This window comes from Homo sapiens, chromosome 5, assembly GCF_000001405.40.
Source record: "Homo sapiens chromosome 5, GRCh38.p14 Primary Assembly".
Taxonomy (NCBI): Eukaryota; Metazoa; Chordata; class Mammalia; order Primates; family Hominidae; genus Homo; species Homo sapiens.
In genome coordinates this window covers 56,839,347-56,866,293 of record NC_000005.10, presented here as the reverse complement: position 1 = coordinate 56,866,293, position 26,947 = coordinate 56,839,347, and the positions used below count along the sequence as shown (strand labels likewise).

The following is a 26,947-nucleotide window of genomic DNA, read 5'->3' as shown; positions in this document are numbered from 1 at the left end:
TGGGACTACAGGTATCACCACTCCCAGCTAATTATTTTACTTCTGTAGAGTTGGGGTATCCCTATGTTGCCCAGGCTGGTCTTGAACTCCTGGGCTCAAGCAATCCTTCTGCCTTAGTCTCCCAAGGTGCTGGGATTACAGGCACGAGCCACCATGCCCAGCGAACTTTTAGTATCTTCACCCTTGATTTTAACTTGAAAGCCAAGATTCAATAATTAAATCATTTTAGAGCAACTTAACAAGTAGATATAAAAAATTACCCCTAAAATTAAAAGTAACACTGGATTAATGTTTGAAATCCTTAAAAAGTACTAACCTGTTTTCTGAACTAGACGTAGAAGTACTAGATGATGACAATGTATGAGAATTTGACATGCGTGAAACAAACTTCTGGATGGTGTTACGAGATGGAGCTTTGATCCTTGAGCTACGCCTACTGTGATATTTCTGGAACAAACTCTCAACCTAACATTGGAAAAAGACAGTAACAATGATATTTGTGCCATAATTATACATATGAAGAGTTCTAGAGGCTGAATTATTTATCTTTAATTTGCATGTTTTTCATAAAGTTGATTTAAGAGCTTCAAAAATAAGAACACATTATAGTTTTTACTAAGGACAACATTCTTACAGCAGGTCAGTGTTTGTTTTTTTCAAGCTAGAAGAAAAAGTTTAGTAAATATCTCATGAGAACTATTTATAAGCATCAACTAATTCTTACATACCTTCACACCTTTAAAATGGTCACTGCCTAAATTTAGTGAAGGATAAATTTTAAGAATATATCCTAAGAATATGCTAACAATTTTACTCTAAGCATTTATTAAAAACTACCTCAAAATTCTTTAAAGTTTTTCTCCATAACATTGGGTCTGAAGGTTCTAGTTGAAACACCCGGAGCATCACAAATAGCAGATGAATACAGAATGTTCCACGTGCACAGCTGCAGTTCTAAAGAGTTAAAAAGAAAACCTATAGGTTAATACATCTGTGGTTCACAAGAACTTCTAAATTTATCACTTTTACAATATTTCCAACTTTTTATACTAAAGTTTCTATTAATTCATATTCTTCATTATCTTTGTATATAAGAAAAATCTACAGCTATTTCCATGATTTAATCTTTCATTTTCACTGAATTTATTAAATAGATCAAATTTCTATTCTATGGTATATTAAGATAGTAAAACCTCATAAATACATTAAAGAAAAATATTAGCCTAAAATACATTTTAAGTTTAACTTTGTTTACTATAGGGAATTAATTGATCTAAATTTAAGAACATTATAGTATATAAATTTGAGGTAGTACCATATACTACTACTAATAAAGTATAAAATGGTGACGAATCCTACCTGAGGCCCAATAAACACCCGGTATTTATTGTCTGGGCTGTCTCCTCCAATCAGGAAAGAGTTAGGCCCTATCTGCTGCAGTAAGTACAGTCTGGCCCGCATCACTTTGTTAACACGGCGGTTTGTTTCCTCAGGGCTATATGGTGAGAAGCCATCTGGTGAAGGGGCTCTTCGGGGTGGTGTGATTCTGCCACTCTGAAACTTCACAACATTTTTTTTTATTAGGTACGTTTCTCATTTCTTAATTAAGAAACTATTATCCGGTCAGGCATGGTGGCTCACGCCTGTAATCCCAGCACTTTGGGAGGCCGAGGAGGGCGGATCATGAGGTCAGGAGATCCAGACCATCCGGGTTAACATGGTGAAACCCATCTCTACTAAAAATACAAAAAATCAGCTGGGTGTGATGGCACATGCCTGTAATCCCAGCTACTCTGAGGCTGAGGCAGGAGAATCACTTGAACCTGGGATGGAGGTTGCAGTAAGCCGAGATTGTGCCACTGCACTCCAGCCTGGGCAACAGAGCGAGGCTCCATCTCAAAAAAAAAAAAAAAAAGAAACTATTATCCAAAGAAGATCATACAAGACAGTCATGTGGCAGATTATAGTCTGAAAAAATGTCAGATTTAAAATATTATGGAACAAAGGCTAAATGATTTTGTCTGACATACTCATCTCAGGTGAACTTTTAAAATCTCAGTCATCCCCATAAATGTTGATAAATATCTGGCTGAGAGAGACAACCATGTGGTAATTTTATAAATTATTCTATTAACATTTGAGTTCTTTGAAACATCTAATATAAACCAAAACAAAAAGCATAGAAAGTATATATCATAAGCAGGCAGAATGCTGTGTCTAGTAGTAAAAACTAAAAATCCAACTTCCTGGGATCTATTGAAGGCTTTATTAATCTTCTTTAACAGGAAATTTACAAACGCTGCCATGGAATGCCTCCCAACATACACTCTGCAGACTCTTCCTCAATAAAAACAAATTAGTGGAAGCTGACAAAAACGCTCCTAGGGTGAGGATAATATATAACACTCTCACTATACTAACTTTCCTAGAACTTGGTCTTTCCATCAATGTCCAGTGGAAATTCCAGTTTTTTGGATCCCTAATTAAATAGTTAAGGGTAATAAATGTTGGCAAGACCACAAAGCAATTAGAATTCTCATATAGTGCTGGCAGAATGTAAAATGTGCAGCTGGTTTGGAAAACAGTATAGCAGTTCCTCAAAATGTTAAACGTATTACCCAGCAATTCCATTCCTAGGTATAAACTCAAGAGAAATGAGAATATATGTCCACCTGAAAACTTGTACACAAATGTTCACAGTAGCATTATTCATAATAGCCACCAAACAGGAGCAGCTCAAATGTCCATCAACTAATAGATAAACAAAATGTGGTATATCCATACAATATTGCTCTGCAATTAAAAATGGAGTACTAACACATGCTATAGCATGGATGAACCTTGAAAATATGATACTAAGTGAAAGAAGCCAGTCATAAAAGATCACCTATTAAGTGATCCCATTTATATGAAATGTCCAGAATAGGCAAATTATATATATAGAGAAAATAGATTAGTGGTTGCCTAGGGTTGGGAGAGACTGTTGTTAAATGGAAAACTTTAGACAAAATAAATTTAACAGAGTTTATTTGAGCAAAGAATGATTCATGAACCAAGTGGTACTCAAAACCGCAAGTTCAGAGATCTCTGATCTAGCACCTTGAACAGCCAGCTTTTACAGGCTGAACACAAAGCAAAGCAAAGCAAAGGAATCAGCTGATTGGCTACAGCTAGGTGTTTGCCTTACTTGGGCATGGCATTATGCAAAGTCCCTAGTTATATAACAAATAGGCTGGCTGGCTGTTTGTGATTGGCTAAAGGTTGGTTTCATTTCCAGGTGTAGAAACAACCCCAGGCTACCTACTACCTATTTTGCTTTAATACTGCTAATAGGTCTAGGATATCTTATTGGGGTAATAAAGATGTTTAAAAACCGACCGTAATAATGGCTACACAACCCTGTGAATATACTATAAAACACTGAATTGTACAATCTAAACAGGTGAATTGTACAGTAGATGAATTACACATCAATAAAGCCATTATTTTTAAAAAAGCAGTTACTAAAAAGTAAAAACAAACAAAAAAAGCCAATTATGCATGCACACGTCATTTTGACCTGCTAGGTATCCAGCCTATGGATATGTTCACAGATACATGCTCACAGATGTACAAGATGACATACGTATAAAAATACTTTTGAAGCACTGTTTTCAGTAACAAAAGGTTAAAAAGATTATAAATGTTCATTAGTATATCATTCATTAAATAAACCATGATTTATCCAGCTAATGAAAGGCTATGTAACTGTTAAAAAGAATGAGGGGTAACTTTGTCTAGCATATATGCCCAAAGTGGGTTTTGGGGGTGGGGTGTGGGGAAGGAAGACAGTTCTGTTTATACTTGTTGTAAACTTTCATTTTGATGGCCCCCATGAACCATACCTCCCAGTATTTACATTCTTGTGTAGTTCCCTATCACATCAATTCTGGGTTTGGGCATGCAACTAGCTTTGGACAATAAGGCATTAGCAAACACAATGAAGTGGAGGCTTGAGAAGAGCCTGCATGTTGAGACTTGCCTCTCGAAACAATACTCTTTGCAACCCAGTCTTCGTGCTAGGAGGAAGAGATGCCAACAGCCCCCCAAGTGTTCCAGTATCCCAGCTGAAGCAATAGGCATGTGAGTGAAGAAGCAGTCTTGGACCTTTCATCTTCAGAGAATGTCACAAGGAACAGAGATAAGCCACCCCTGCTGAGCCCTGCCCAATCTGCAGATTCGTGAGCTAGTAACTGATTATTGTTTTAAGTTAACAAAAATTAATAGTTAATTTAAAGGTATTTTAACATAGAGCCAACAACTACTGTTGGGCATCAGGTTTTACTGTAAAATGTTTTTGCTTTAAATGTACTTTTTAACGAATTTATGTACCTTAATAACTCCAGATCTTAAAAAAAAACCCAAACTCCTCTTGTGGTCACTATCTCAACCATTTTTCCATTCAATCATTTGTTCTTCAAAGTTAGAAAGTGAGTCTTAACATGCATTTCCACTACTAGAAGTCTCTCTCTCACATGAATTTACCACCTATCTTTTTGCAAATTTCTTTGATGTTTAGCTTAATATACAAGACAGCTAAGATTCTCATAGCTGCTTCTGCATTCAATCTGCTGTGATATGATGTTTTGATTAAAGTATATGAAAGAAAGTTTGGCCTCATGCAGATACGTAGATGTAAAAGGAAGGAGTATTTTAATAGCCCCTTTTTTTTTTTTTTTTTTTTTTAGGAGTCTCACTCTGTCGCCCAGGCTGGAGAGCAGTGGCGTGATCTCGGCTCACTGCAACCTCTGCCTCCCGGGTTCAAGCCATTCTCTCTGCCTCAGCCTCCAAAGTAGCTGGGATTACAGGTGCCTGCCACCACGCCTGGCTAATTTTTGTATTTTTAGTAGAGACGGGGTTTCACCACGTTGGCCAGGCTGATCTTGAACTCCTGACCTCCAGTGATCCGCCCACCTTGGCCTCCCAAAGTGCTAGGATTATAGGTGTGAGCCACTGCCTGTTCAAATAATGATGAATATTCTTTGGTACTATACCAAAGCTCAAAAAATGGTTTCTTAAAGGCAGTTGTAATGTGGAATCTGAAACCACATCAACAAACTTTTCCTACTGGCACATTAAAAATCCAAATGGTGTATTTTACACTTTGAATGTATCTTTTACCTATGAATAATTTTGTTATTATCATACACTGATCACGTGGAAAATATTGGTTCCTTAAGTTACGCAGATCTTCCAAATGTTCACATATTTCATTATACAGCATGAAAATAATCACATTTGTTATCACCAATCTTATCAGAAAAGTCTAAGCACTGGGAGGCTGTCAAGCTCATAGTGGTGGATAGTAGCTTTCTAAAATTCTAATTTTTGTTTCGACATCTCAACTTTTAACACTAGTGAAAAAATACTTAAGTTGCTTTTCTTTTTTTCTTTTTTTTTTGAGATGGAGTTTCGCTGTTGTCGCCCAGGCTGGAGTGCAATGGTGTAATCTAGGCTCACTGCAACCTCTGCCTCCTGGGTTCAAGCGATTCTCCTGCCTCAGCCCCCCGAGTAGCTGGGATTACAGGCATCTGCCACCATGCCTGGCTAATTTCTGTATTTTTAGTAGAGATGAGGTTTCACCATGTTGGCCAAGCTGGTCTCGAACTCCTGACCTCAGGTGATCCGCCCACTTCGCCCTCCCAAAGTGGTGGGATTATAGATGTGAGCCACCGCTCCCAGCCTTAAGTTGCTTTCCTTGAAGTGACAGTCTCATTTAATTCACCTTAAGAAAAATGTCTTCCAAATACCCAAATCTAAATAATCATAGTTTGTTGGTCACTCATTTCATGTTCCATGAAAGAAATAACTAGTTCAGCTTGCAACTCTAACAACCGCACAAATACTTCTCCTTTAGAAACTACTGGATTTTGGTATGTAGAAGTGCTTTATGCATGCATCCCATTTCATCACACACAATATTACAAAGGCACGTATTTACTAAGAGTCAAGATTTAATAAAATTAATTTATATTTCCTTGTCAAAGGCATTATCAAGTGTAACTGGCATTTTTTTCTTTAATGGCTGATACATAGCAATAATGAATATAGTTTCTACAGTTGTAGCCTTAAATTGGGAAAAGGCACCAGTAGCTTTACCCACCACTGCAAATATCAATGCAGGGAAAGAGGCAAACAACATCCCAGTTTTATCACAAAATTAGTTTTGACCTAATAGACCCCAGAAAGGGTCTCAGGAACCACCCCCCCCATCCTCAGGGGTCTGCAGATCATATTTTGAAAACTGATGTTCTAACAGATGGCTGGCCAGTCTTTTCTTTGTTATAAATGAAGCTAAAAATTATAAAAACTAACATATTTGTTGTAACATTAACTTACAGGCACTGGGGAAACTCTTTTTCTCCTTACTCCTGGAGATTCTGATTTCACTGTGCGACCTGATGGGGAGTTGCCAGGAGAAGGACTGCGTCGGCCTTTGGAAGCTGGTGAAGCCGCACTTGCCTGGACCTCTCCTGGAGACTCAGCTGCTAAGTGATTCATTTCAGATCCATCTCCTTTAACTGGGATTGGTTTTACCACCTGAATCAAAGTATTCCAATATTTTGATTACTTAAAAATATAAAAGGTAAGTAAATGTAAATATCATAGACTAGGAAATACACTTAATGAGTTTTTGTTATGAAATATTATACCAGTATACCAGACAATATATCAACTTTTATTATTACTTTAAGCTATTAATGTAAAAGATTATTTTTACCTGCACAAATTTCAGTCATTTAGGATTTAACACTAGTTAAAACGCAACCTCCTCCCTTACAATTTTGTAATGCATACAAAACTGTAGAAATGGTATTATTTGTTATTATATACCCTAACTCATTTAACACTCAAAAGCAACAATCAAAGGTGATTAAACAAATGTGAAAAATAAGCACTCATAACTTCTACAGTCAACTTATTCAACTACTAGATCAAAGATCTAGGTACGTTTTTATTTGTTTTTACAAAATGTAGGACCTTGAAACAACACTGGGCATAATTTCAAATAGTTTGATCACTATGCAATCATTTTCCCTGCTTTGTGTGTGTGTTTCTTTACAATGTTATATTACAATAATAGGTTAGATGTGTATCTCAGAAAACCAAAAGAGACTAGAAGTTTAAAGATCAATTTCTCAAGCAGAAATGCAGTTTACAAGACCTGCCTTTTTTTTTTTTTTTTTTTAATTAAGGCTTTCAGACCTAATCTAGCCATGACCAAAGGCCAAACTCCACAGCTTTGTACAACTGAAGCTCAGCAGACCTTTCTGGACTTTCTCCCACTGCTCCTGTTCTATAGCCAGTTGCTGTGTTCACCAAACTTGCCTGACCCTTCCTCCTCCTGTGCTTTCACTCACTCTCCTCCTATTTTAATACTCATCTCCAGCCTGCAGCACCCCAGGCAGTACACCTTCACATGAGGAAAATTTACCCATCTTTCTACGCTGAGTTAAAATTCTTCCTTTTATGAAACTTCCCTGAAGTCTACCAGCAAGACATTCCTTCTCTTTCCTAAGTCCCTATTGCTCTTCTGCCCATCCCACACATTTGGCACCTAGTCACAAGTTGCTTTGTGATATTTCATGTATTACTCTATTTATTATGTATAAGTCTAATTTTCCCATTTGGAGATATTTACCCTTTATGTTTCAAGAATGATTTGACACAACTTACTTAAAGTATAAAAACAAACAAAATCAGACCTCCCAAGTAAACAGTAAACTTCCTAAGGATAATACGAAATCCGTAAATCATAAAATGTAGGGTGGCATAATTAAGCTTAAGGACTATGTGTTATGCATCTTATTCCACACATCTCCTCCCTCTTCACTCATGTCTTATATACAGACAAGGTACTTTGGTACTTGCTAGAAAGTGAACAGTATAAAAACCAAAATTTTGTTTTAGAGAACTGGATATTCTTAGTTCATGTATAATAAAGAACAAATAGCTGGCTCATTTTTAAAAAGTTGTGATTTATGCCCTACGGTATTCTCAAAAGATTTAGGCTGTTTGAACACCTCCATCTAAAGGAGCTCAGAAAGCAGCACATTCAAACTTCAGATGGCTCTGCTTGTTCAAAAGTTCTTTATATTGATTGAGTAGTAATATGCCCTTTTAACTGCCAACATTCTACAAGATGTTTCAATAGCACTTTCTCTTCTCTAAGATAAATCCTTAATTTCTTCATATTCACCTTCTGGCACGAATAGCTAAAATGGTGAGGGGTTCCCACCATACCACCTCACGTGAGTAATAAATGGAAGAAATGTAGAAACTTAGCTGTAAAGACAAGGACTCACGGGCCCATAATAACTTACCAAGTGCTGGTATGGAAAGGAACAATTAGATTTATTCTGTATAATTCCATCGGTTAGAATGAGAACCAGTGGGTAAAATATTCCTGACAGACTGCAGCTCAGTGATGAGGATATCGAAAGCCACAGGGATTATTGAGTTATTTAAGTCAGACACGAGTCAGTACTACACATCTAAGAGAGCTTTCTGAGGCAGTGAAAATGTGCTAAAACTGCACTGCCTAAAAGGTAGCCATTGGCCACATGTGGTTACTGAGCATTTGAAATGTAGTTGGTGAGACTGAGGAACTAAATTTTTACTTTTATTTACATCTAATTAATTTAAATGTAAACTTAAATAGGCATATGGGATGAATGTAGGGCAGACAATCACTTGGCAGGGGTGTATTTAGACCCTTGTCAAAGCTTAGATGAATTTTAAGTTGCCATATCTGTTTTAAAAGAACAAAATAAAAACTTGCTGAGAGAGATTAGTGCTAGGATACTGTAATACTTCTTCCTTTGTAAGAATGAAGACACACATTTCATGATGGTATTCTTATAAGAATATATATTCTTATACCTATAGCAAAGGACAGAGTATCCCTGCTTTTTAAAATCTAGGACTCTAGATTTTCTTTCATCAAACCCCACACATTTTTAATTTATCTTAATCCCCATAGGTCTATTAAACATTTTTTCATGTCAAATGAGGATAACATGCTGACACTGTAACAAAGTTGGAGAAACGCACATCTTATGCATGCATGTGAAAACCCAATCATTACACTTATGAATTACTGCAATTAAATGTTTTCTTTCCTAGAAGATTTCTGAAATTAAGATCCTTGGATCCTGTCTTAGAGATAAAACATCTAAAATAAACTGGAAAAATTCTTTTTAAAATTTACAAGTACAGTATAAAACTCCAATGAAAGGATTTTAGATACTGACATGAGAGGGCAGTCTTGGTTTAAGCATTTACCCCTCCACCAAACACAACAGTTAAGTTCCCAGAATAGTTTAAGTTGTTTAATGAGCACAGTTTTAATTATGGTTTCTTCCAAATGACCACAATATCAAGTAAAGAAAACTACTACATTTAAAATGAAGAAGAAAAGCTTACAAGAGGATCTATTTATGCTTACTTTTCCATTTCCTCCTATGCTTTCTTCCTTATAACTGGTAACCCATAGCCACTTACCACAGGCCCTCGCCTATTTCTCCTTTCCAACCATTCGTGCTTCCAGGCTGGCATACAGGTTGCCTTCAGTTTCTCCCTGATCATTCGTTCCTCTGGACGATCATCCATCTTGTGCAACCCTTTGAGAGTTTCTTTATTCTCCATCTCACGACTAAAATGCAGGCAGAAACAAATAAAATGAGAAATGTATATATGAAAAATAATTTCCAAGAACAAACAGAATGGATGGTTCTATTTTATACTTCCAACGGACATGTAATAAAAAAGATAACTGCTAAAAACCCCAAATGACTTAAAGCTTGAAAAGATTCTGAATTATATACTACTGACATATATCATGCAGACCTATGTTCCACTGTAGTTAACAAAATGAATCCCAAGACATTAAGCACTATATTAACAAATATATTCACTAAGACTGCATTGTTTTTAATTCTACCACCCAAATAACAAATATTTAGAAGGGTGTATTACTACACTTTTATCCCAGGATTTCCAATAAATTAAGTCAATACAGATAGAATCTGGTGGATATGCTGATTTATCTGAAATAAGCTCAATAAATATTTAATAAGTGAAGTGAAACTTAACTACATCATCTATGACCCCAAAACAATTTTTCATAGCCTACATGATTAAATTTTTATTTTCATAGAACAGTGACTTCATAACAAAGCACTTGGGGTACTCTATAAAGAATAAAAATTATCCAGTACAAACATTTGATCTTTACTCCATAAAATGGTGTGGATTTACCAGAATAAAACAATCTCTAAACTAAGAACGTTTGAGAATTAACTCTACAAAGCCTAACAGGCAAAGCATCAAGCTCACGAAAATCACTAATTTTAAAATATACCCATATCCACATGAGCATACATGCATACACGATATGCATAGATTTGAAAACCTGATTTATAAGGATGCAGTTAAAGCAACTGCACCTTGGGATTAGTAACAACTTTAAAAATACTAAGCTAATTTCAGTAACTATTTTGAAAAGTCTTTAAAGCTAGAGAACAGTTTTTCTACACTGATAGGAAAAGGAAATACTCAAGGAAATACCAAAAACAAGAACCTCAAGTTTACTACAAAGACAAATTCAAACTCCTCTAGGAATTTTCCAGCTAATCACAACTATGAAGTACGATCTTCAGAGAATCAGCCAAAGGAAGAAGAAACTACTTAAAAAAAAATATTCACTAGAAAGGAAACGGTTAACCCGTTTCACTGAAGCATCAAGACTGTGAGGAAAGTAGAAGGCAACATATTAAACATCTTTGTATCAGCAACTGGCCTAGACATTTTTAGAAATACAAAGAATACATAACATTTGGTTTGAAACTTGCAAATAGGCATTAAGACCACAGCGTAAAATATTTCCTTACACACACATACACACACAAATACTGTTATATAGAAGCAATATGAGACTTTCAAAAAGTATGAAAAAAGGAGGATTATCTAATTTACTTATATGTGCTTGGCTGCTTTTTATGCTGATTATAAAATATAAATATTAGGGGATGTGTAGAAGAAAGTAAGAGAGGGAGGGAGGAGAAAGAAGGAAAGAGGAAGGGGGGATGGAGAGAAGGGAAGAAGGCAGAGAAGAAAGGAGGAGGAGAAAAAGGAGGAGGGAGAGGAAGGCAGAGAAAGAGAGGTAGGGGTGAAGAACACAGGGGATAAAGTGTCTTCCAAAAAAGTCCATCCTGCTCAGTTGGTATTCCAGGAGGCTCAGCTTTGTAGGCAACTGAATTTATGTGGTGACTGCATAATAAAAATTCACTTCCAAGTCTTTAGTATTAAAAGCGCTTTCCCCCTCCAGTAACAATGTTGCAAGAGGTGGTTTGGTTCCCAGGCTAGTTCCAAAAAATAAGCCTCACAGTGGAACTGCAGTGCATTTTTATACCAGAAACTCCTGCACTCCTAGACCAAGGTGCTTGATAGTCTTTCCTCTGGTCCTAGCTATCTCTCTTCCCCCAAATCTGTTTCAGGAGTATCTCTTCTCTGCTATGGATTTTCAGTTTCTGTTCCTGGCCCTGAGTCAAACACACAAAGGATGTTCCTTGTCTAAACAAATCTTTCTGGATGGCATGGCCTCCTTAAAGTCTAATGTGTCTCTTTCCTTTCCACTTGTTTGAAAATACTGTCATCTTTTAGACCAATTTCTTTTATCATAAATAATAGGGATGAGCATTCTAGTAGCTGAACTTTTACACACATCTGAGATTCTTTTTTAAATTTCGTTTTACCTTATTTATGTTTAAGGACTATGAGATTATTTTTTTCTTTTTTCTTTCTTTTTTTTTTTTTTTTTTGAGATGGAGTTTAGCTCTTGTTGCCCAGACTGGAGTGCAATGGTGCAATAGGCTCACTGGCAACCTCCGCCTCCCAGGTTCAAGTGATTCTCCTGCCTCAGCCTTCCAAGTAGCTAGTATTACAGGCATGTGCCACCACGCCTGGCTAATTTTGTGTTTTTAGTAGAGATGAGGTTTCACCATGTTGGTCAGGCTGGTCTCGAACTCCTGACCTCAGGTGATCCACCCACCTCGGCCTCCCAAAGTGCTGGGATTACACCACATTTGGCCTAAATTATTTCTTTAGAATAAACACCTAGAAATGGAAATGCTGGGTTAAAAATGTACACAAATGAAGACTTTTGATAATATTGTCAAATAATCTTCTAAAAAATATGTCTTCCATTCACACGCCCATCCAGGTCAAGCTGCTCTTAAACCTGCTCTGAACTAGCAACAGGCTCCTAACGAGGCTTCTTTAACTTTGAATCTTACCCAGATTTCACAGTGCAGCCAGGGTTACTTCCTCCATTAAAATGCTCTAGTGGTTCCCCCCGGGCTTAGACTAAAATCCAAAATGTTTAGCCCAACCTAAGTGGCCCTGCACCTCGTGGTCTCACCTCAATTCCTGTCATCAGACCTGCAACCCCCCTTCTTCACTGCCTCAATAACCCCAAGATCTTTCCTACTCAGGGCTTCTGGACAGGCTGCTTCCTTCTCTGTCTACTTTTTACCTAATTTCTACCCACTCTCTAGATTTTCCTCAACTCCTCAGAGACTTTCCCAATTTCAATTAAGAACTCCCAGTTCCATTCTTTCACAGCACTTGTATTTTTCCTTTAACATGGTTAATGCAGTTTGCAAACTGTTCCTCTCTTATGAACTGTAAGCTCCATGAGTGAGGGGACCACGTGTTATCGCCATCTATACACCTAACATCTAAGCATGTCTGGCTCATAATAAGTATGAACATATATTAAGTGAATGATCACTTATTAACTCTGGCAGTCCTACAGCCTTCCCAGTTTTAAATTTTAATGACTATTCTTATTAACTTTTTTTATAATTCTGTATTTAATTAAGACTAAATTTGCAATTTAGATGTTGTTCAGAACAATTTTCACTGTTCCTAAATTAATCTGCAAATATAAACCAAAGTGTTTTTCCTAGTCTCTTTGTAATAATTACATGTCATTAATTTTAAAATGTGTATTTTTTCACATTTTAATATCTGAAATATGAATGCCTCTTGCAATCAAAAGTTATTATAATTTAACTGGCAGGTGTTATTTCCTTCATAGTATATAAAATAATGGTACAACTTACAACCACTGGGATCTTTGAATCAATGAAATATATAGTAAATCCTATTGTATTTGCCACGAATAAATCACATCTACTCTGTTTAATTTCTCTCTGAAACAGAACCAAACTGTGAAAAATTTTTTTACATACTTGTATTGTTTTTGTTATAATCCTAACATATAATCTTCCATAAGCCAGGCATATATAGGGTTTTCATTTTTACTAGATGAGTGTGTGTGTGTATGTATGTATGTATATAGCAGTGATTTATCATCCAATTAAGATATCACAGCCATAGCAGGAAAAAAATCTTTTTTTAACCAAAGCTAATCTAAACAGATAGCTGTGAAGTCACTGGGAGATGAGAGCCATCTCCAACTCATGTTGGTTAAACGTGAATGTTTCGGGGAGTTATTTTTGCCAAACATTACCCAGAAACATACCTATTTTAAATAATAGTGTATACACTTTTGACCTTAAAAAAATAACAGATTTCAGCTAAACAATGTGTTTTGAGAAACTACCTTGAAGACTTAAAAATAAATAAAATTGTGGTCAGAAAAATAAGAGAAACTTAAGCACTATTACAGATCAAGCTTTATCTTCATTTCCTGTTTATTTAGGAAACATGAGGTTTCTTGGTTTTGGTTTCTAGACATTCCTAAGAATGAATTTGTGACCTGACACAGAACTTCAAGAACGCTTACTCCCTGAGGTTAGGTTTCTAGTGCTAGACTCTTCCTAGACCTACAAAACTCACCTGTTAAAAACCAAGATGCTTCAAGGGTCCCTTCTCAGGGAAACTGTAGTCAGTCCTCCCCTTATAATGTGGTGTCAGCCACTGTTGATTGTGCTAACTCTCTTGTAGGTCTCTCCTCTACTCTTCTATGAGGTCTTTTTCTCCTGGTTCTATGTCTAATCATCTTCATCAGTACCATAAATTAGACCTTCTTCCTGGAGCCCCTTAAATACCAACTATGGCCCTCTTCTCATAGCACAAAAAAACTTCATAAATATACCATGATATTTTACTCCCGTCTCTGCAGATGACTTTTTTTTTTTTTTCCCTGCCAGGAATACCCTTTGCCATCTCAATATGGCTTCAATGAAGAATTTCCTACCACCATTCTACGGCAGTTAGCTGCTCTCCCGCTGCATGGTAAATATTAACTACAATATATCATAAAATTAAGTATATGTTTAAGTATCTGCTTCCCTCTCCACATTGTGAGCTCTTCCAGGACAAGTTCCCTCTTATTCATTGTTCTATCACACTGCCCAGTGACCTGACATACTGCCCCTTTCTGGGAAGCGAAGGGTCTGCCCAGTCCTAAGGGTGGTGGCTAATGCTTAAGGTGCTTTATACATCTGAATCCATCCCAGCTTCCACAGCTGCCTGGTCCAGGAATGTTCCTTGGTCCAATGACCTTCTGTACTGAACGGTATTGTACGCCTGAGTCAGCTCTCTCCCTGAGAGTTTGAAAGTAAAACACACAAATAGTGTTACTGCAGGAAGAGTGGCACTTAACACGGAAACAGAGCAAGGTAATAAGTAGAAACACTGAGACAGAAATAAGGGAGAAGAGAGAGAAATTAGAAGAAAGACAGGGATGCAGAAGCAACAAAAGTCAACCTAACAAGTTGTACACGGGTCCCCTGATAAGCTGTTAGATGATGACAGCCACTTTTATACCACCCCTGGATAATGAATGACTAGTTCTCCACGGGCCAAGTGTACATGCTGCAATGGAGGAAACTTCTTGGTGGATTCTTTAATTTGGAATGAAATAAATTTTAACCCATCTCTGTTCCCTGCAACCTCAAATAGTCTGACTAAAACACTAGTTCTGCACAATGCCTGGCACACAGGGGACATTTCATAAACACTCAAAAATAGAATCCTGGCCGGGCACGGTGGCTCATGCCTGTAATCCCAGCACTTTGAGAGGCCGAGGCAGGCAGATCAACTGAGGTTGGGAGTTCGAGACCAGCCTGACCAACATGGAGAAACCCCATCTCTACTAAAAATACAAAATTAGCCGGGCATAGTGGCGCATGCCTGTAATCCCAGCTAGTAGGGAAGTTGAGGCAGGAGAATCACTTGAACCCAGGAGGCTGAGGTTGCGGTGAGCTGAGATTGCGCCATTGCACTCCAGCCTGGGCAACAAGAGCAAAACTCCATGTCCAAAAAAATAAACAAACAAAAAGAATCCTACCAGTCTACTGTAATTTTTAAGTTATTTATTAAATGGCTCATCCTTAGGAAGGAAATATTATGTTTGTCAACAACCAGCGATATGGAGAAATAACTGCCAGAGTGTCATCACAGAAAAATTATATTACATGCCAGACAATGGATTAGGTGCTTTACATGTATGAATTTACTGCACCCTTCCAGCAACCCTGTGAGGTCTTTTCCATCGGAGGCTTGGGGAGGCTGGGTTATGCCCAGGGTAACACAGTTTGTAAGTGAGTGGCAGGGCCAGATTCAAACCCCCACAGGTTTGATTCAAGAGCTGTACTCTCTGCTGCTATGAGTGTTCACTGCCCAGTCTAAGTTTGTTTTTACAAGAAGTCAGCACCTGTGCTGATACCTATTTGATAATAATCCAAACAAGTTTTGTAAGTTTTTACAACAGTGACGATTTGATTAATTATAATAATTAAAGAAGCATATTAATTCTCTTCATTATTAGAGCATTTCACTGCAATAGAGGCAACTAAGACTATAACGATCGTAGAAAACCTTTCTGGAAATTAATGAGATTTAACCTTAGGTATAAATTAAGATTTCCGTATCTTGATTCTCTTGGTGTCCAAGGAACTTCAAGGAACCCTAGAAAATACATTATTTGGGATAGGCACAATTCAGAGCTAACTAATTAAGGTCCACCTGTGAAGCCTTCCTAGCAGAAGAAATTCACACACTACCAAACTCATAAGCCATATTACTGAGGAAGAGGACAGCAAGGGAGGAACGACCTTCCAAAACAATCCTAGTCCATTGTGGGACACTTAAAGTGTAAGGTTCCAGGTAAAGGACAAGAGCAGGAATGACTTAAACTGAGGATAGGGAGAGCATAATGAAACAGAAAGGCTGACAATTCCTTCCCAAGGATAGGGCTAACAGTCACATGGGTTACTCAGTCAATTCTCTTGAGACGCGGCTCTTACTACTCCATTTTACAGATGAGACAAAGGATATGGGAGGTTCAGTTACATGTTCAAGGTGATAAAGTCTATATGTAAAAAACACTATGACTTACACTCAGATGAGAGTGATTTCACAGTCTGTGTCTTCCAAGAACAAAAGGAAAATGAATATTTACAAGTACTTTTAATCTGTTGACCTAGATCTGAGGCATCTGCAAACAAAACCAAAACCAAAACCAAACCATCTTTATCTCAATACTAGGACAATTCTATTTTCCAGTAAGATAGTTTCTCCAGAGACATACTGTCTTTGCCAACTGTTGGCCTATTCCTTCTAAGCAAGGAAGATTAAATAAACCATTGGAAGGGCGAATCTTCCATCTTTATATGATACAACATTTATAACATAGGTAGGTTTACATAAGAAGTAACAATGTATAAAAATGGCTCACATTCTGAAAATTAGTTCCCACAAGATTTTATTCCAGATTTTATTCAGTAAAGTTTGACCCTGAGGACTAAAGACGGCACAACTGCTATTTATTTATAACAAGAAACAGGCACTACTACTTTTATCCCCCCATAGGGTAAATATCCTCTCTTTAGCACAACAAAGGATTGATTCTTTTTTTTTTTTTTTTTAAAGACAGAGAGGGTTTGGCTCTGACGCCCAGGCTGGAGTGCAGTGGCGCAATCTTGGCTCACTGCAACCTCCACTTCCCAATTCAAGCAATCCTCCAGCGTCAGCCTCCCGAGTAGCTGGGACCACAGGCACAAGCCACCATACCTGACTCATTTTTTTGTACTTTTTGTACAGATGGGGTTTCTCCATGTTGTCCGGGCTGGCCTTGAACTCCTGAGCTCAAAGCACTCTGCCCGCCCTGGCCTCCCAAAGTGCTAGAATTACAGGCATGAGCCACTGCACCCGGTTGAAATCAGTTTTATAGTATGTTGAATCTGTATCAGAAATCTTTATTAGTGGAAAAACTATTTTAAGTATTGTGTGCAAACATTCCTATTTAGGCCTTTGAGAGATATGGGCATAGAATTCACCCTCAAAAAGCTCATGTTCTGATTAACCACATCAACAGTTAAGTAATATGGAAGTCAAGTAACAAAGACAATAACACAACTAATTATAAACAAGACATATAAGCAGTTTAATACCACCTTAGTGATTCTGATTGACTCATATTGATAACATATTCCACATGGTCATGCACAATAACTCCATTTACCCTAAATCATGGATTAGTTTCCATCAAAACACCACTCCATTTGAGTTTTAAAATTAAAAGTATTCTCCAGCACAATTACAGGATTTTGAAAACCAGAACACAGTATAGAAACATAAAATATATATAAAATTAACCAAAATTAAAATAAGACAATGTATTAATAGATAATCATACTGTAAACACACAATCACTGGCTGAACTAGACAAGGAAAGGGTAAATTCTTTGAGGGCAGGGCCTTTTCCTTGTCCTGCAGCTAGGAACAAAGCACCCAGAACAACAGATGTCATGGGCTTGATAAACACTCCCTGATTCAGAGTCAGAGTAGCTGATTATCACTTCTAATCAACAAAGATCTAAGAAGTAACACCATGCAGATGTTACACCATCATTCATGATGGACAAACATAGCCCTTAACAACTTCTACCATAAACTAGTGCCTCTAGGGATATGTAAGTAACTTCAAAGAGAAAAGGTAAAGAACTTCAATGAGAAAAGGAAGAATATTCGAAAGTTTTTATTACTTCCAAATTAGTAAATTTGTAACAATCATCAGGCAACTAACTATAATAAGAGGGAATTTACAAAAGACAGAGAGCTACTAGTCAGTATCAAATCATTCTTAAAAGTGGCAACTCTGTATCAATTTTTTTTTTGCAGTCAATTACCTTTGACTCAGTCTATAAAGTACATGCCCAAATCTCCCTTTAGAGAAGAAAAGTGAATCAAAAAGAAAAATGTATATTAACTGTACAGTTCTCCTATACTAAATGTTCTTACATGCTCAAAATGTATGAATATATTTAAAGCAACTGATCCTCTATTGAATACTGAATAAACTTGAAGGGATTTCTAAGTAAATTATTACTGGTAACTCAAACTCAGTGTGCTATAAATTTCAGACACCACTGGAACATATAAAATAACGTCTGCATAAAATACTGACAACTGTAGACCAGGGCATTATTATGAGCAGAGAATACATTATTAAGTGAAGGAAAAGATTCTCATTTGTCTTCTTGCATGAAGTACATTTTTTAAAAACTCTATTCAAGATTATTTTATGATTAAAAGGCATCTTTCTTGACCACAAATAGTCATAAGAATATTCAAATATGAATTTGAGAAAACTGCCTTGCAGGAAAAGTGTTACTTTTTTTGTTGAGATCCAGTGTTACTCTGTCACCCAGGCTGGAGTACAGTGGCAGGATCTCAGCTCACTGCAGCCTCCACCTCCCAGGTTCAAGCAATTCTGCAGCCTCGCCTCCCTAGTAGCTGGGATTACAGACGCCCAACACAACGCCCAGCTAATTTTTGTATTTTTAGTAGAGATGGGGTTTCACCATGTTGGCCAGGCTGGTCTCAAACTCCTGACCTCAAGTGATCCACCCACTTCGGCCTCCCGAAGTACTGGGATTACAGGCATGAGCCACCACGCCCGACCAAGTCTTTTTTACTTTTAAACTAACATACAAACATTATGGATGTACTTCAACAGTCTCCAAAGTCACTGACATATTTAAGATAAAACACTAAGGCTAAACTTTCAGGTGGCCATGTTTAAATATGGATAAACATCATCAAACGAAAGGGGCTATATTCCTTGCAGCTGAAACCCAGATAAACACTAAGAAAAAGATAAAATGCAAAAAGGTTTTCTAAATCATCTCTTTACACCTGCCTAGTTCCAGAAAGAAAATAAGGCAGTAGTGTAAAAGCTTGGTTATGGTGTTTCTTTGGCACACTCATGTCTCTCAGAAATGTAGCTGGCAGATTCCATTAAAAACTACCACATTCAAGTTATTAATGTACCACAATAAATCAATCCAATACACATTACTAAGCACATCACTAATAGAATTGAGATGTTCTGTTCAAATTTGGAAAAAGAAAAGTTCTTTCTTCTAAATGTGTTAATAGATGAACAGAAAAATCAACAAATTTATACAATAATGAAACTAAATATGTACACTTTGTTAAGCCACGGAAACAATCATGAGCACTGACAGGTCAAGAAAACGTCAAACTGCAACGAAGTCAAAACTTGCCAGGAGGAAATATAATCCAAACAAGTCAAATACACATCAGAATTCGGAGAGGGGGACATGGAGATATAGCCATGCAGAAGTAATCAAGAATATGCAGTGACTCTTAAAATTGGTAGGGATTTTAAATAAATCTAAAAGAGATAAGACAAATCAAGTTAGTAAGCAAGTTAACTTGGTAGCAAATGAAAACTCTAGAAGACTAGCAATTTGAGTTAGCGAATGAAAATCCTAGAAGACTATCAATTTGAGTCAGGTACAATTATTTTTTAAAGAGCAGGTGAGGAGAAAAAGCAGGAGGTGAAGGAAGACTTGTTTTCAAGCGAACACCCTTGGTGTGTAGGCATAAAAGAAAACAAATTGGACTAGAATGAAGCCAATATGTTGTTAGTTCTATTGTGACCTAAGACTCAAGTTCAATGAAATCTGCTGACATATCACAAATTATGAACTATAATATGTGGGTAATATTTACATAGGCAAATGAAAATTGTAAAAATGGTCAGACCTGAACAGAAATATGAGTTTGGTGATTCTGTATGATTCATCATCTTAGAAAACATATAAAAACGTTAGTGACAGAAAAACAACATTGTTCTGCCATTTAAGACAACAAAACAAATGAATTGTAAAGTTACTGTCTGTCTTAGGAATATTTACTACTTAGACTAAATATTGCTTTAAAACACTTATATCACTCATCAGAGTAATCAGCTTTGTAACAGTACTTCTAAATACTAGGACTCTTTCACCTATCTCCCTGCGGGGAGAAACTCAGAACATCCATCAGGCTTAAGGTAAACTATGTTCTGAGCACCCAACAGAGGGAGTTTAAAATTAATATGGTCCCATTTCCCACTTGTTCCTTTCCAACAAAAACCCATAAAACCTTGTATTCTTTTGACATTCTGCGCTAAAAATTCCACTGTTTATTCTTTCCTTTGTTGTGTCCTTGGTACTTGAGGAAAAACCTTTAGAAACCTTTGGGGAAAAATGAAACATTGTGAGTATCCTCTTCCCTAATTGTTGAACACAGATCAGTAAGTAAGAAGGATGTTTTTAAAAACAAAACAAAACAGTTTTTGGCTAAACGTGTTTTTCCTTTTAAGAATCCCCCCTTGCTACTTGACAAATCTAGGGCTGGGAATGTCTACAAGACAACTGATGCATAAACCTAGAGAGACGTTACACTAGAGAAGTAGGTTGGAACTTCCTACACTACTACTGTGGGGGGAGGGGTGTTCTCAGCAAGGCCATGCATCCTGCCCTTATCTGGGGGCACTGGTACAGAATGCATGGCACAGTGAAATGAAAACCTCTGTTCCTTCACCATTTGGGTGTTCATTAAAAAGATCCCAAGTCAGTGTTACATGAAGGCTGCAGTGTATGTTTTCTCCTATGTTTACTTGTTACCTTTGGGGAAATGTGGCAGTGCAGTTTGAGTATACTTCTAAGTGGTCAACTCAACAGGGCTAGTACATACTTACGAAAGTGGTCTGTTAGTATATGTAGGTTATGGCATAATACAACTTACTATAATTCTTACCCCACTAACAAAATTTAAAGCTTCTGTATTTTAAGAAGTTATAGATATGTAATATTTTGAGTGAATACCTTCTATTTTAAAAAAGCCCTTAACTGTTTTTAATGCTCTGAGATTAAAGGAGAAGAGGGGATAACCCCGAATTAGCATACAAAGCCCTCTTACAGTCTTTGCTAGGAGAAGGATTTCTTTCAAAATTCTACAGAACAGCTAGTACTATACTATTTCCTTCCACCTGGTAAAAAGGCATGTTAACTGGGATGCTCAGAATGAGGAAGAATGACTTCCTGACAAATGCAGCTTTTCTTCTTTATGCTTTGAATGCTAGCAAACCACTCCGTTCAATGAATGCTGGCACACCTACCACAGATAAGCACTGGCCAGGCAGCAAAGAAGAAAAATTAAAAAACGAAAGATAAATAAAACAGGGTCTGTGTTCCTCCAATCATTCTGTCTCACAGAAGCAAGAAAACACAATGTCAACTCTGCTGTAATAAAAGTATTTAACATCCCATAAACAGTTGCGAAGGTGGAGTGATCTCCATCCTTAATTTTATCTAGGAGAGTCCTGAAAAGATCCACAGAGGAGGTGATGCCTGAATAATTTTAAAGAACAGAACTGGAAGAGAGAGTTGGTGAAGGCCAAAAGATGTTCCAAACAGAAGACATAGCTTTGGCAAAATAATATCCTAGGCCGGGCACGGTGGCTCACACCTGTAATCCCAGCACTTTGGGAGGCCAAGGCGGGCGGATCACGAGGTCAGGAGATCGAGACCATCCTGGCTAACACGGTGAAACCCCGTCTCTACTAAAAATACAAAAAAATAGCCGGGCATGGTGGCGGGCACCTGTAGTCCCAGCTACTCGGGAGGCTGAGGCTGGAGAATGGCATGAACCCAGGAGGCGGAGCTTGCAGTGAGCTGAGATCCCTCCAGCCTGGGCGACAGAGCGAGACTCTGTCTCAAAAAAAAAAAAAAAAAAAAAAAACCAAAAAAAACAATCCTATAATACTAAACATCTAATGATTCTGCAAATCAGGGAACACTTGATAAAAACAAGTTAGTTGGCTTTATTTATCACAGGACAGCACAGAGCCTCTAATAAGACCTACATGTGTCATTAATCTCCAAGGGGAAAAAGAAGGTATGTAGCATTCCTCACATTCACTTGCCATGGAAGTCCTTTTATGCAGAGCATCTTTGATAGCGCAGTGTTCCTTGGAACATACTCTAAGAAACCTGTACTGGCTCATCTCTACAGACCCTCTGGCTCCAGTAAGTCAATATTTCTAAGAAAATTGCAGAGAAAAAACTAACACCAGGAATCTTAATGTCTTAATACTACTTAAGCTATCACAAAATTTAGCATGTCTGTAGTGCAATTAAGGCTCCAATAATTCAAAATGAATATGGGGAGAAAAGATTATTTAGACAGCCAGCGAGATGGGTAGTCTCGTTGTATGAACCCACCCTAAGAGAAGGGGGCATCAGAAATTCAAGCCTGGCCCAATCCAACCACTAGCAGAGGCCAGAGTCTGTCACAAAGATTTGCCCCTGGTCCAGTCCACTCATTCTCTGCCAAGCTCTTAGGTCTGGGGTGAAAGCAAAAAAGCCATGAGAAACCAAACCAAACCAAACCAAAAAACCTTGGTAATTTATTTTCTCTAAAGGTCTCTATATGGTTACAAGTAAGTCCCAGAATACAAAATAAAATAAATGGGCCTGGGGAATGGTTCTCATTTCATTGTAAAGACCCTGGAACTCTGCACAGTGGGAACATTGTGCATCTTCAGCACTGATGGTGGTGTTACTGGCAGGACTGGTGGGTGAAGCAGGTCCGAGGGGGCGAGGCCAATGTGGCTGAAGGAGGTGATGGCAATGGCCAGAAAGCAGTGCTGACCAGAGACGGCTACTGGGTCACTGGCCAAATTCAGCACATGTAAGACCCACACTGGGGACTTCAGGAAGAACTGGTGGGTGGGGGGTGAAGAGACTGTTAAAGGTACTTATGGAGCAACAGCCACCCAAACGAATCAAATCCAGGTAGCTTCTATCAAAATGACCCCATTTTAACAGGCTGGGGTCACATGAGGAAACGTGTTGCATCTACAACAAAACCAGGAAGGACTTCTTAGTCAATAGAGATCATACCACCTGAAAGATATGTTCCTAGGACTGGATAGATAAGGTAAGAAGCCATACCACATACAGAAGAAGTATGGCACAGCGATCAGGGGCATGAGTTCTGGAGCGAGACTGCCTGGGTTAAGATATAAGCTCTGACACTACCTGTGCAATCTTGGTAGAAGTGCTTCTTTGTGCCTCAATTTCCTCACTATAAAATGGGGATAATAGTATCTACCATATAAAGTAGCGACCAGGATTAAATAAATTAATATATATGTAAAGTACTTAGAAGAAAGTTAACTTCTTAGAGTTCCTCCCATTATTCTCCTATAAATGGGGATAATAATAATAGCTAATACTTATGACCCACCTACTACCCGCCACACCTTGTTCTAAGTCTTTTACATATAGTTAATTCTTACCTCACTTTTTAAATGAACATGGATGAAGTACTTGCAATGGCACCAAGTGCATGGTAGCCCACAATAAACTGAATTACTACTATCACTACTACTACTATTAAAGCTAGCCTCTGCAGTGCCTCCTCTGTTCTAAGTACTACTCTAGGTATTGTCCATACAGTGGCTTTACATCTCACCAAAGCTACAAGGTAAGAGTCCTCATCTTCATTGGGCAGATGAAGAAACCTGCAGAAAGATTAAGTAGTTTGATTAACTCTCCATAGTCAGTGACAATTCTGAGTTTCAAAACCAGCTCTCTACGACTTTAAAGTCCTGTCCTCCTCCACTATGCTGTTATTATAACTTCTTTTAACAAGTTATTTGAAAAACAGATGACAGTAGCAAAATAAAACTTTTTTTCTGGTTTCAGAAGGTAACAATGTTGACTAGCAACATCTAGAATATGAAGACTGCTGTACAAGGCTGCTTCTGCTGGTATTGAGGGAGAGAAGAAGCTCTAGCCAGAAGACAAAGGAGGCTTCAACTGTTTAATATTAGTTCCTTTAAAAAATACACATCCAACTGCACTGCAGCAAGTACAATAAAATATTAACATTTATTAAATACAGGTGAAGGTTTTCTGGCTGTTTATTATACTATTATCTAATGTATTCCATCTGTATCTTTCTGTATGCTTGAAATATTTCCTTAAAAATAAACATGCACCACTGAACTACTACTCCACACTGTGGGAAGCTTCACGGAACTAAAGGAAAATGACAGGATTCAGGGGTCTGGAAATTCATAATCAAGTCCTGACTGTGCCATTAGCCATGACATGCTCTTAAGAAATTCACAACCTTTTTGGAACTTAAGAACCTATGAAATCACATCAGACTACAAGATGATAGCTTAGGGTCATTCAGTGTGAACATACAATTCATTTATCGCCACTGCCACATCAATATTATTCCTGTCAGGCAGATAGACACCATCAGAAGATAGAAAGCTCAATAGGACCACAAATTCCTTTTAATCGTTAAATCTGGAGAGTACTTCCCAAAATTTTTTTGAGTAAAATATTCTTTGTCATTCTATAATCCAGTGGCTCTCCATGTTTTTGAATGTGAAAATCCTTTCTTAAGGTATCATCACCATCTACGTGGTAGCTAAGTGGATCTGCAGACCCCTTGTACTAACTCAGGCAGTATATCAGTATGGGTGACATACTGTTACGAACTTTTAGACTCCTCCAATATTCACTATCATAGCAATTCAAACTTTATTACTAAGAGAGGCACGTATTATGTATAAGACTCTATCAAAGCTCTCAGAAAGTTCAGACAACTGTCAAGCAGAACATTCGAGAAAGTAGAGAGCACAAAGATTTTAAGATCGTTTTACATGAAAAATATTAACCTGTCTAGTTTTTTTTTTTTTTAAATCAATAAGCCATACATTTCTCTTCCTTAAAAGGCTTAACAATTTTGACCTCAGATGATCTGCCTGCCTTGGCCTCCCAAAGGGCTGGGATTACAGGTGTGAAACACCTTGCCCAGCCAATATGGCAAAACCCCATCTCTACTAAACACACACACAAATTAGCTGGGCGTGGTGGTGCATGCCTGTAATCCCAGCTACTCAGGAGGCTGAGGCAGGAGAATCGCTTGAACTCGGGAAGCGGAGGTTACAGTGAGCTGAGAACGTGCCACTGCACTCCAGCCTGGGTGACAGACAGAACAAGACTCCATCTTTAAAAAAAAAAAAAAAAAACCTTAACAATTTTGCATTTGCATATTTAAGTGCTGTAAGTCAAAAAGATGCAAAGTAGTAGCCTGAAATGAGACATGAAACATGGCGGCTCTCAGACCAAGTTTCAGTTCCAGTTGTTTTTACGTCCCAATGTGAATTCTATTAATAACTACTTCAGGCCAGAGCTCTCTGTAGCCACACAGCTGACTTTTCTCATAATCTGGAATAATGGTATCAGATACGCTTAATCTCAGTCAAGTTACAGAAGTTAGGGTTTTCTGTTTTTTAAAAGGAGAAAAGCTGGGATACAATATTAAAAGTCATACTAGTTTTCTGAGTGCAAATCTGAAAACACAGTTATTGCTAAAATATTTACAAGTTTTGTATTATTAAATAATGTTTTCAGAGAATACTTGCTATTCAGCCAATTAATACTCATTATTTGGCTGGACGCAGTGGCTCATGCCTGTAATCCCAGCACTTTAGGAGGCCGAGGCGGGTAGAACACCTCAAGTCTGGAGTTCAAGACCAGCCTGGCCAACATGGTGAAACCCTGCCTCTACTAAAAATACAAAAATTAGCCAGGTGTGGTGGCATGTGCCTGTAATCCCGGCTAACTGGGAGGCTGAGGCAGGAGAATCGTTTGAACTTGGGAGGCGGAGGTTGCAGTGAGCCGAGATCAGGGCACTGTACTCCGGCCTGGGTGACAGAGCAAGGCTCCATCTCAAAAAAACAAAAAACAAACAAACAAACAAAACGCTTATTTAAGTAACATGAGTAGATGTCAATGGCAAGTTACACAATAAGAGAAACTTTGACTTTAAAACCAACTTTACCATAGGCCAATTGATGTAAACAAGTGGGAAAGTTTCTATGGCATATTTCTGGTCACAAAAACATCACCAAACTTCTAGAGACCCCAAACACTTCTAACACTAAACACTGAAAAAATGTGAGCTGTAACATACATTTAAGAAACATTAATAAGATGATTATTTACCCACTTATTCCAGTTCAGGGTCACAGGTGGCCAGAGCCTGTCCCAACAATTCAGGGTGCCAGACTTGAACTAGCCCTGGGTAGGATGTCATCCCGTTGCAGGGTGCATTAACAAACACCCACATTCTCTCAGTCTGGGTCCTTGCAGACATGACAATGAACCTAACGTGCACATCTTTGGGGTGTCAGGGGGAAACCAGAGTACTGAGAGAAAATCCACCCAGAGATGGGGGGAGTATGCAAACTCCATACAGACAGTAGCCTCTGCCAGAAGAGATTTTTATCCTCATCAACTTTTTAGCAAAATTGTCCAAAATGTTCAACTAAATGACATTATTGAAGGATCTGCTATACTTTACACTGGAAAAATAAAAGGCAACTAACCATTGGTTAATATACCTGACACTATATATGTATTTTTTCACTTCAGGATCTTAATCTATCACCCCTCATGGATTATACCATTAATCTGTACACATAAGCAAGGATAAATCAATTTAGCATACAGTCCACCTCTTTTAAATACCACTCATGACTTGCATAATC

General features: G+C 37.8%; 1 protein-coding gene and 1 pseudogene across 4 annotated transcripts in view, besides 3 other annotated features; both read right to left on the bottom strand.

The window, feature by feature from the left end:
* The window catches only part of MAP3K1 (mitogen-activated protein kinase kinase kinase 1), an 80,604-nt gene that overhangs the window by 29,859 nt on the left and 23,798 nt on the right, over positions 1 to 26,947 (bottom strand). For all 4 annotated transcript variants that reach the window (NM_005921.2, XM_047417218.1, XM_047417219.1 and 1 more), the window contains 5 exons: positions 9,544 to 9,694; positions 6,379 to 6,579; positions 1,360 to 1,560; positions 838 to 954; positions 317 to 465 (listed from right to left, as the gene is read on the bottom strand). In NM_005921.2, the coding sequence (NP_005912.1) occupies positions 317 to 465; positions 838 to 954; positions 1,360 to 1,560; positions 6,379 to 6,579; positions 9,544 to 9,694 (819 nt within the window). The remainder of the gene's footprint in view (positions 1 to 316; positions 466 to 837; positions 955 to 1,359; positions 1,561 to 6,378; positions 6,580 to 9,543; positions 9,695 to 26,947) is intronic.
* On the bottom strand, positions 9,043 to 9,154 carry LOC124901214 (uncharacterized; annotated as a pseudogene).
* Positions 15,074 to 15,253: a silencer, noted in NCBI's record as "fragment chr5:56146868-56147047 (GRCh37/hg19 assembly coordinates)". NCBI's record gives its function as "represses an EF-1alpha promoter that drives an FKBP-Casp9 reporter gene in an ReSE screen in HepG2 liver carcinoma cells {active_cell/tissue: HepG2}" and the evidence as "EXISTENCE:reporter gene assay evidence [ECO:0000049][PMID:32094911]".
* Positions 21,971 to 22,213: a silencer, noted in NCBI's record as "fragment chr5:56139908-56140150 (GRCh37/hg19 assembly coordinates)". NCBI's record gives its function as "represses an EF-1alpha promoter that drives an FKBP-Casp9 reporter gene in an ReSE screen in K562 erythroleukemia cells {active_cell/tissue: K562}" and the evidence as "EXISTENCE:reporter gene assay evidence [ECO:0000049][PMID:32094911]".
* Positions 22,855 to 23,024: an enhancer, noted in NCBI's record as "experimental_86205 CRE fragment used in MPRA reporter constructs". NCBI's record gives its function as "activates a minimal promoter by MPRAs in K562 erythroleukemia cells, with activity observed for both the introgressed and non-introgressed 5:56139182 variant alleles {active_cell/tissue: K562}" and the evidence as "EXISTENCE:reporter gene assay evidence [ECO:0000049][PMID:34662402]".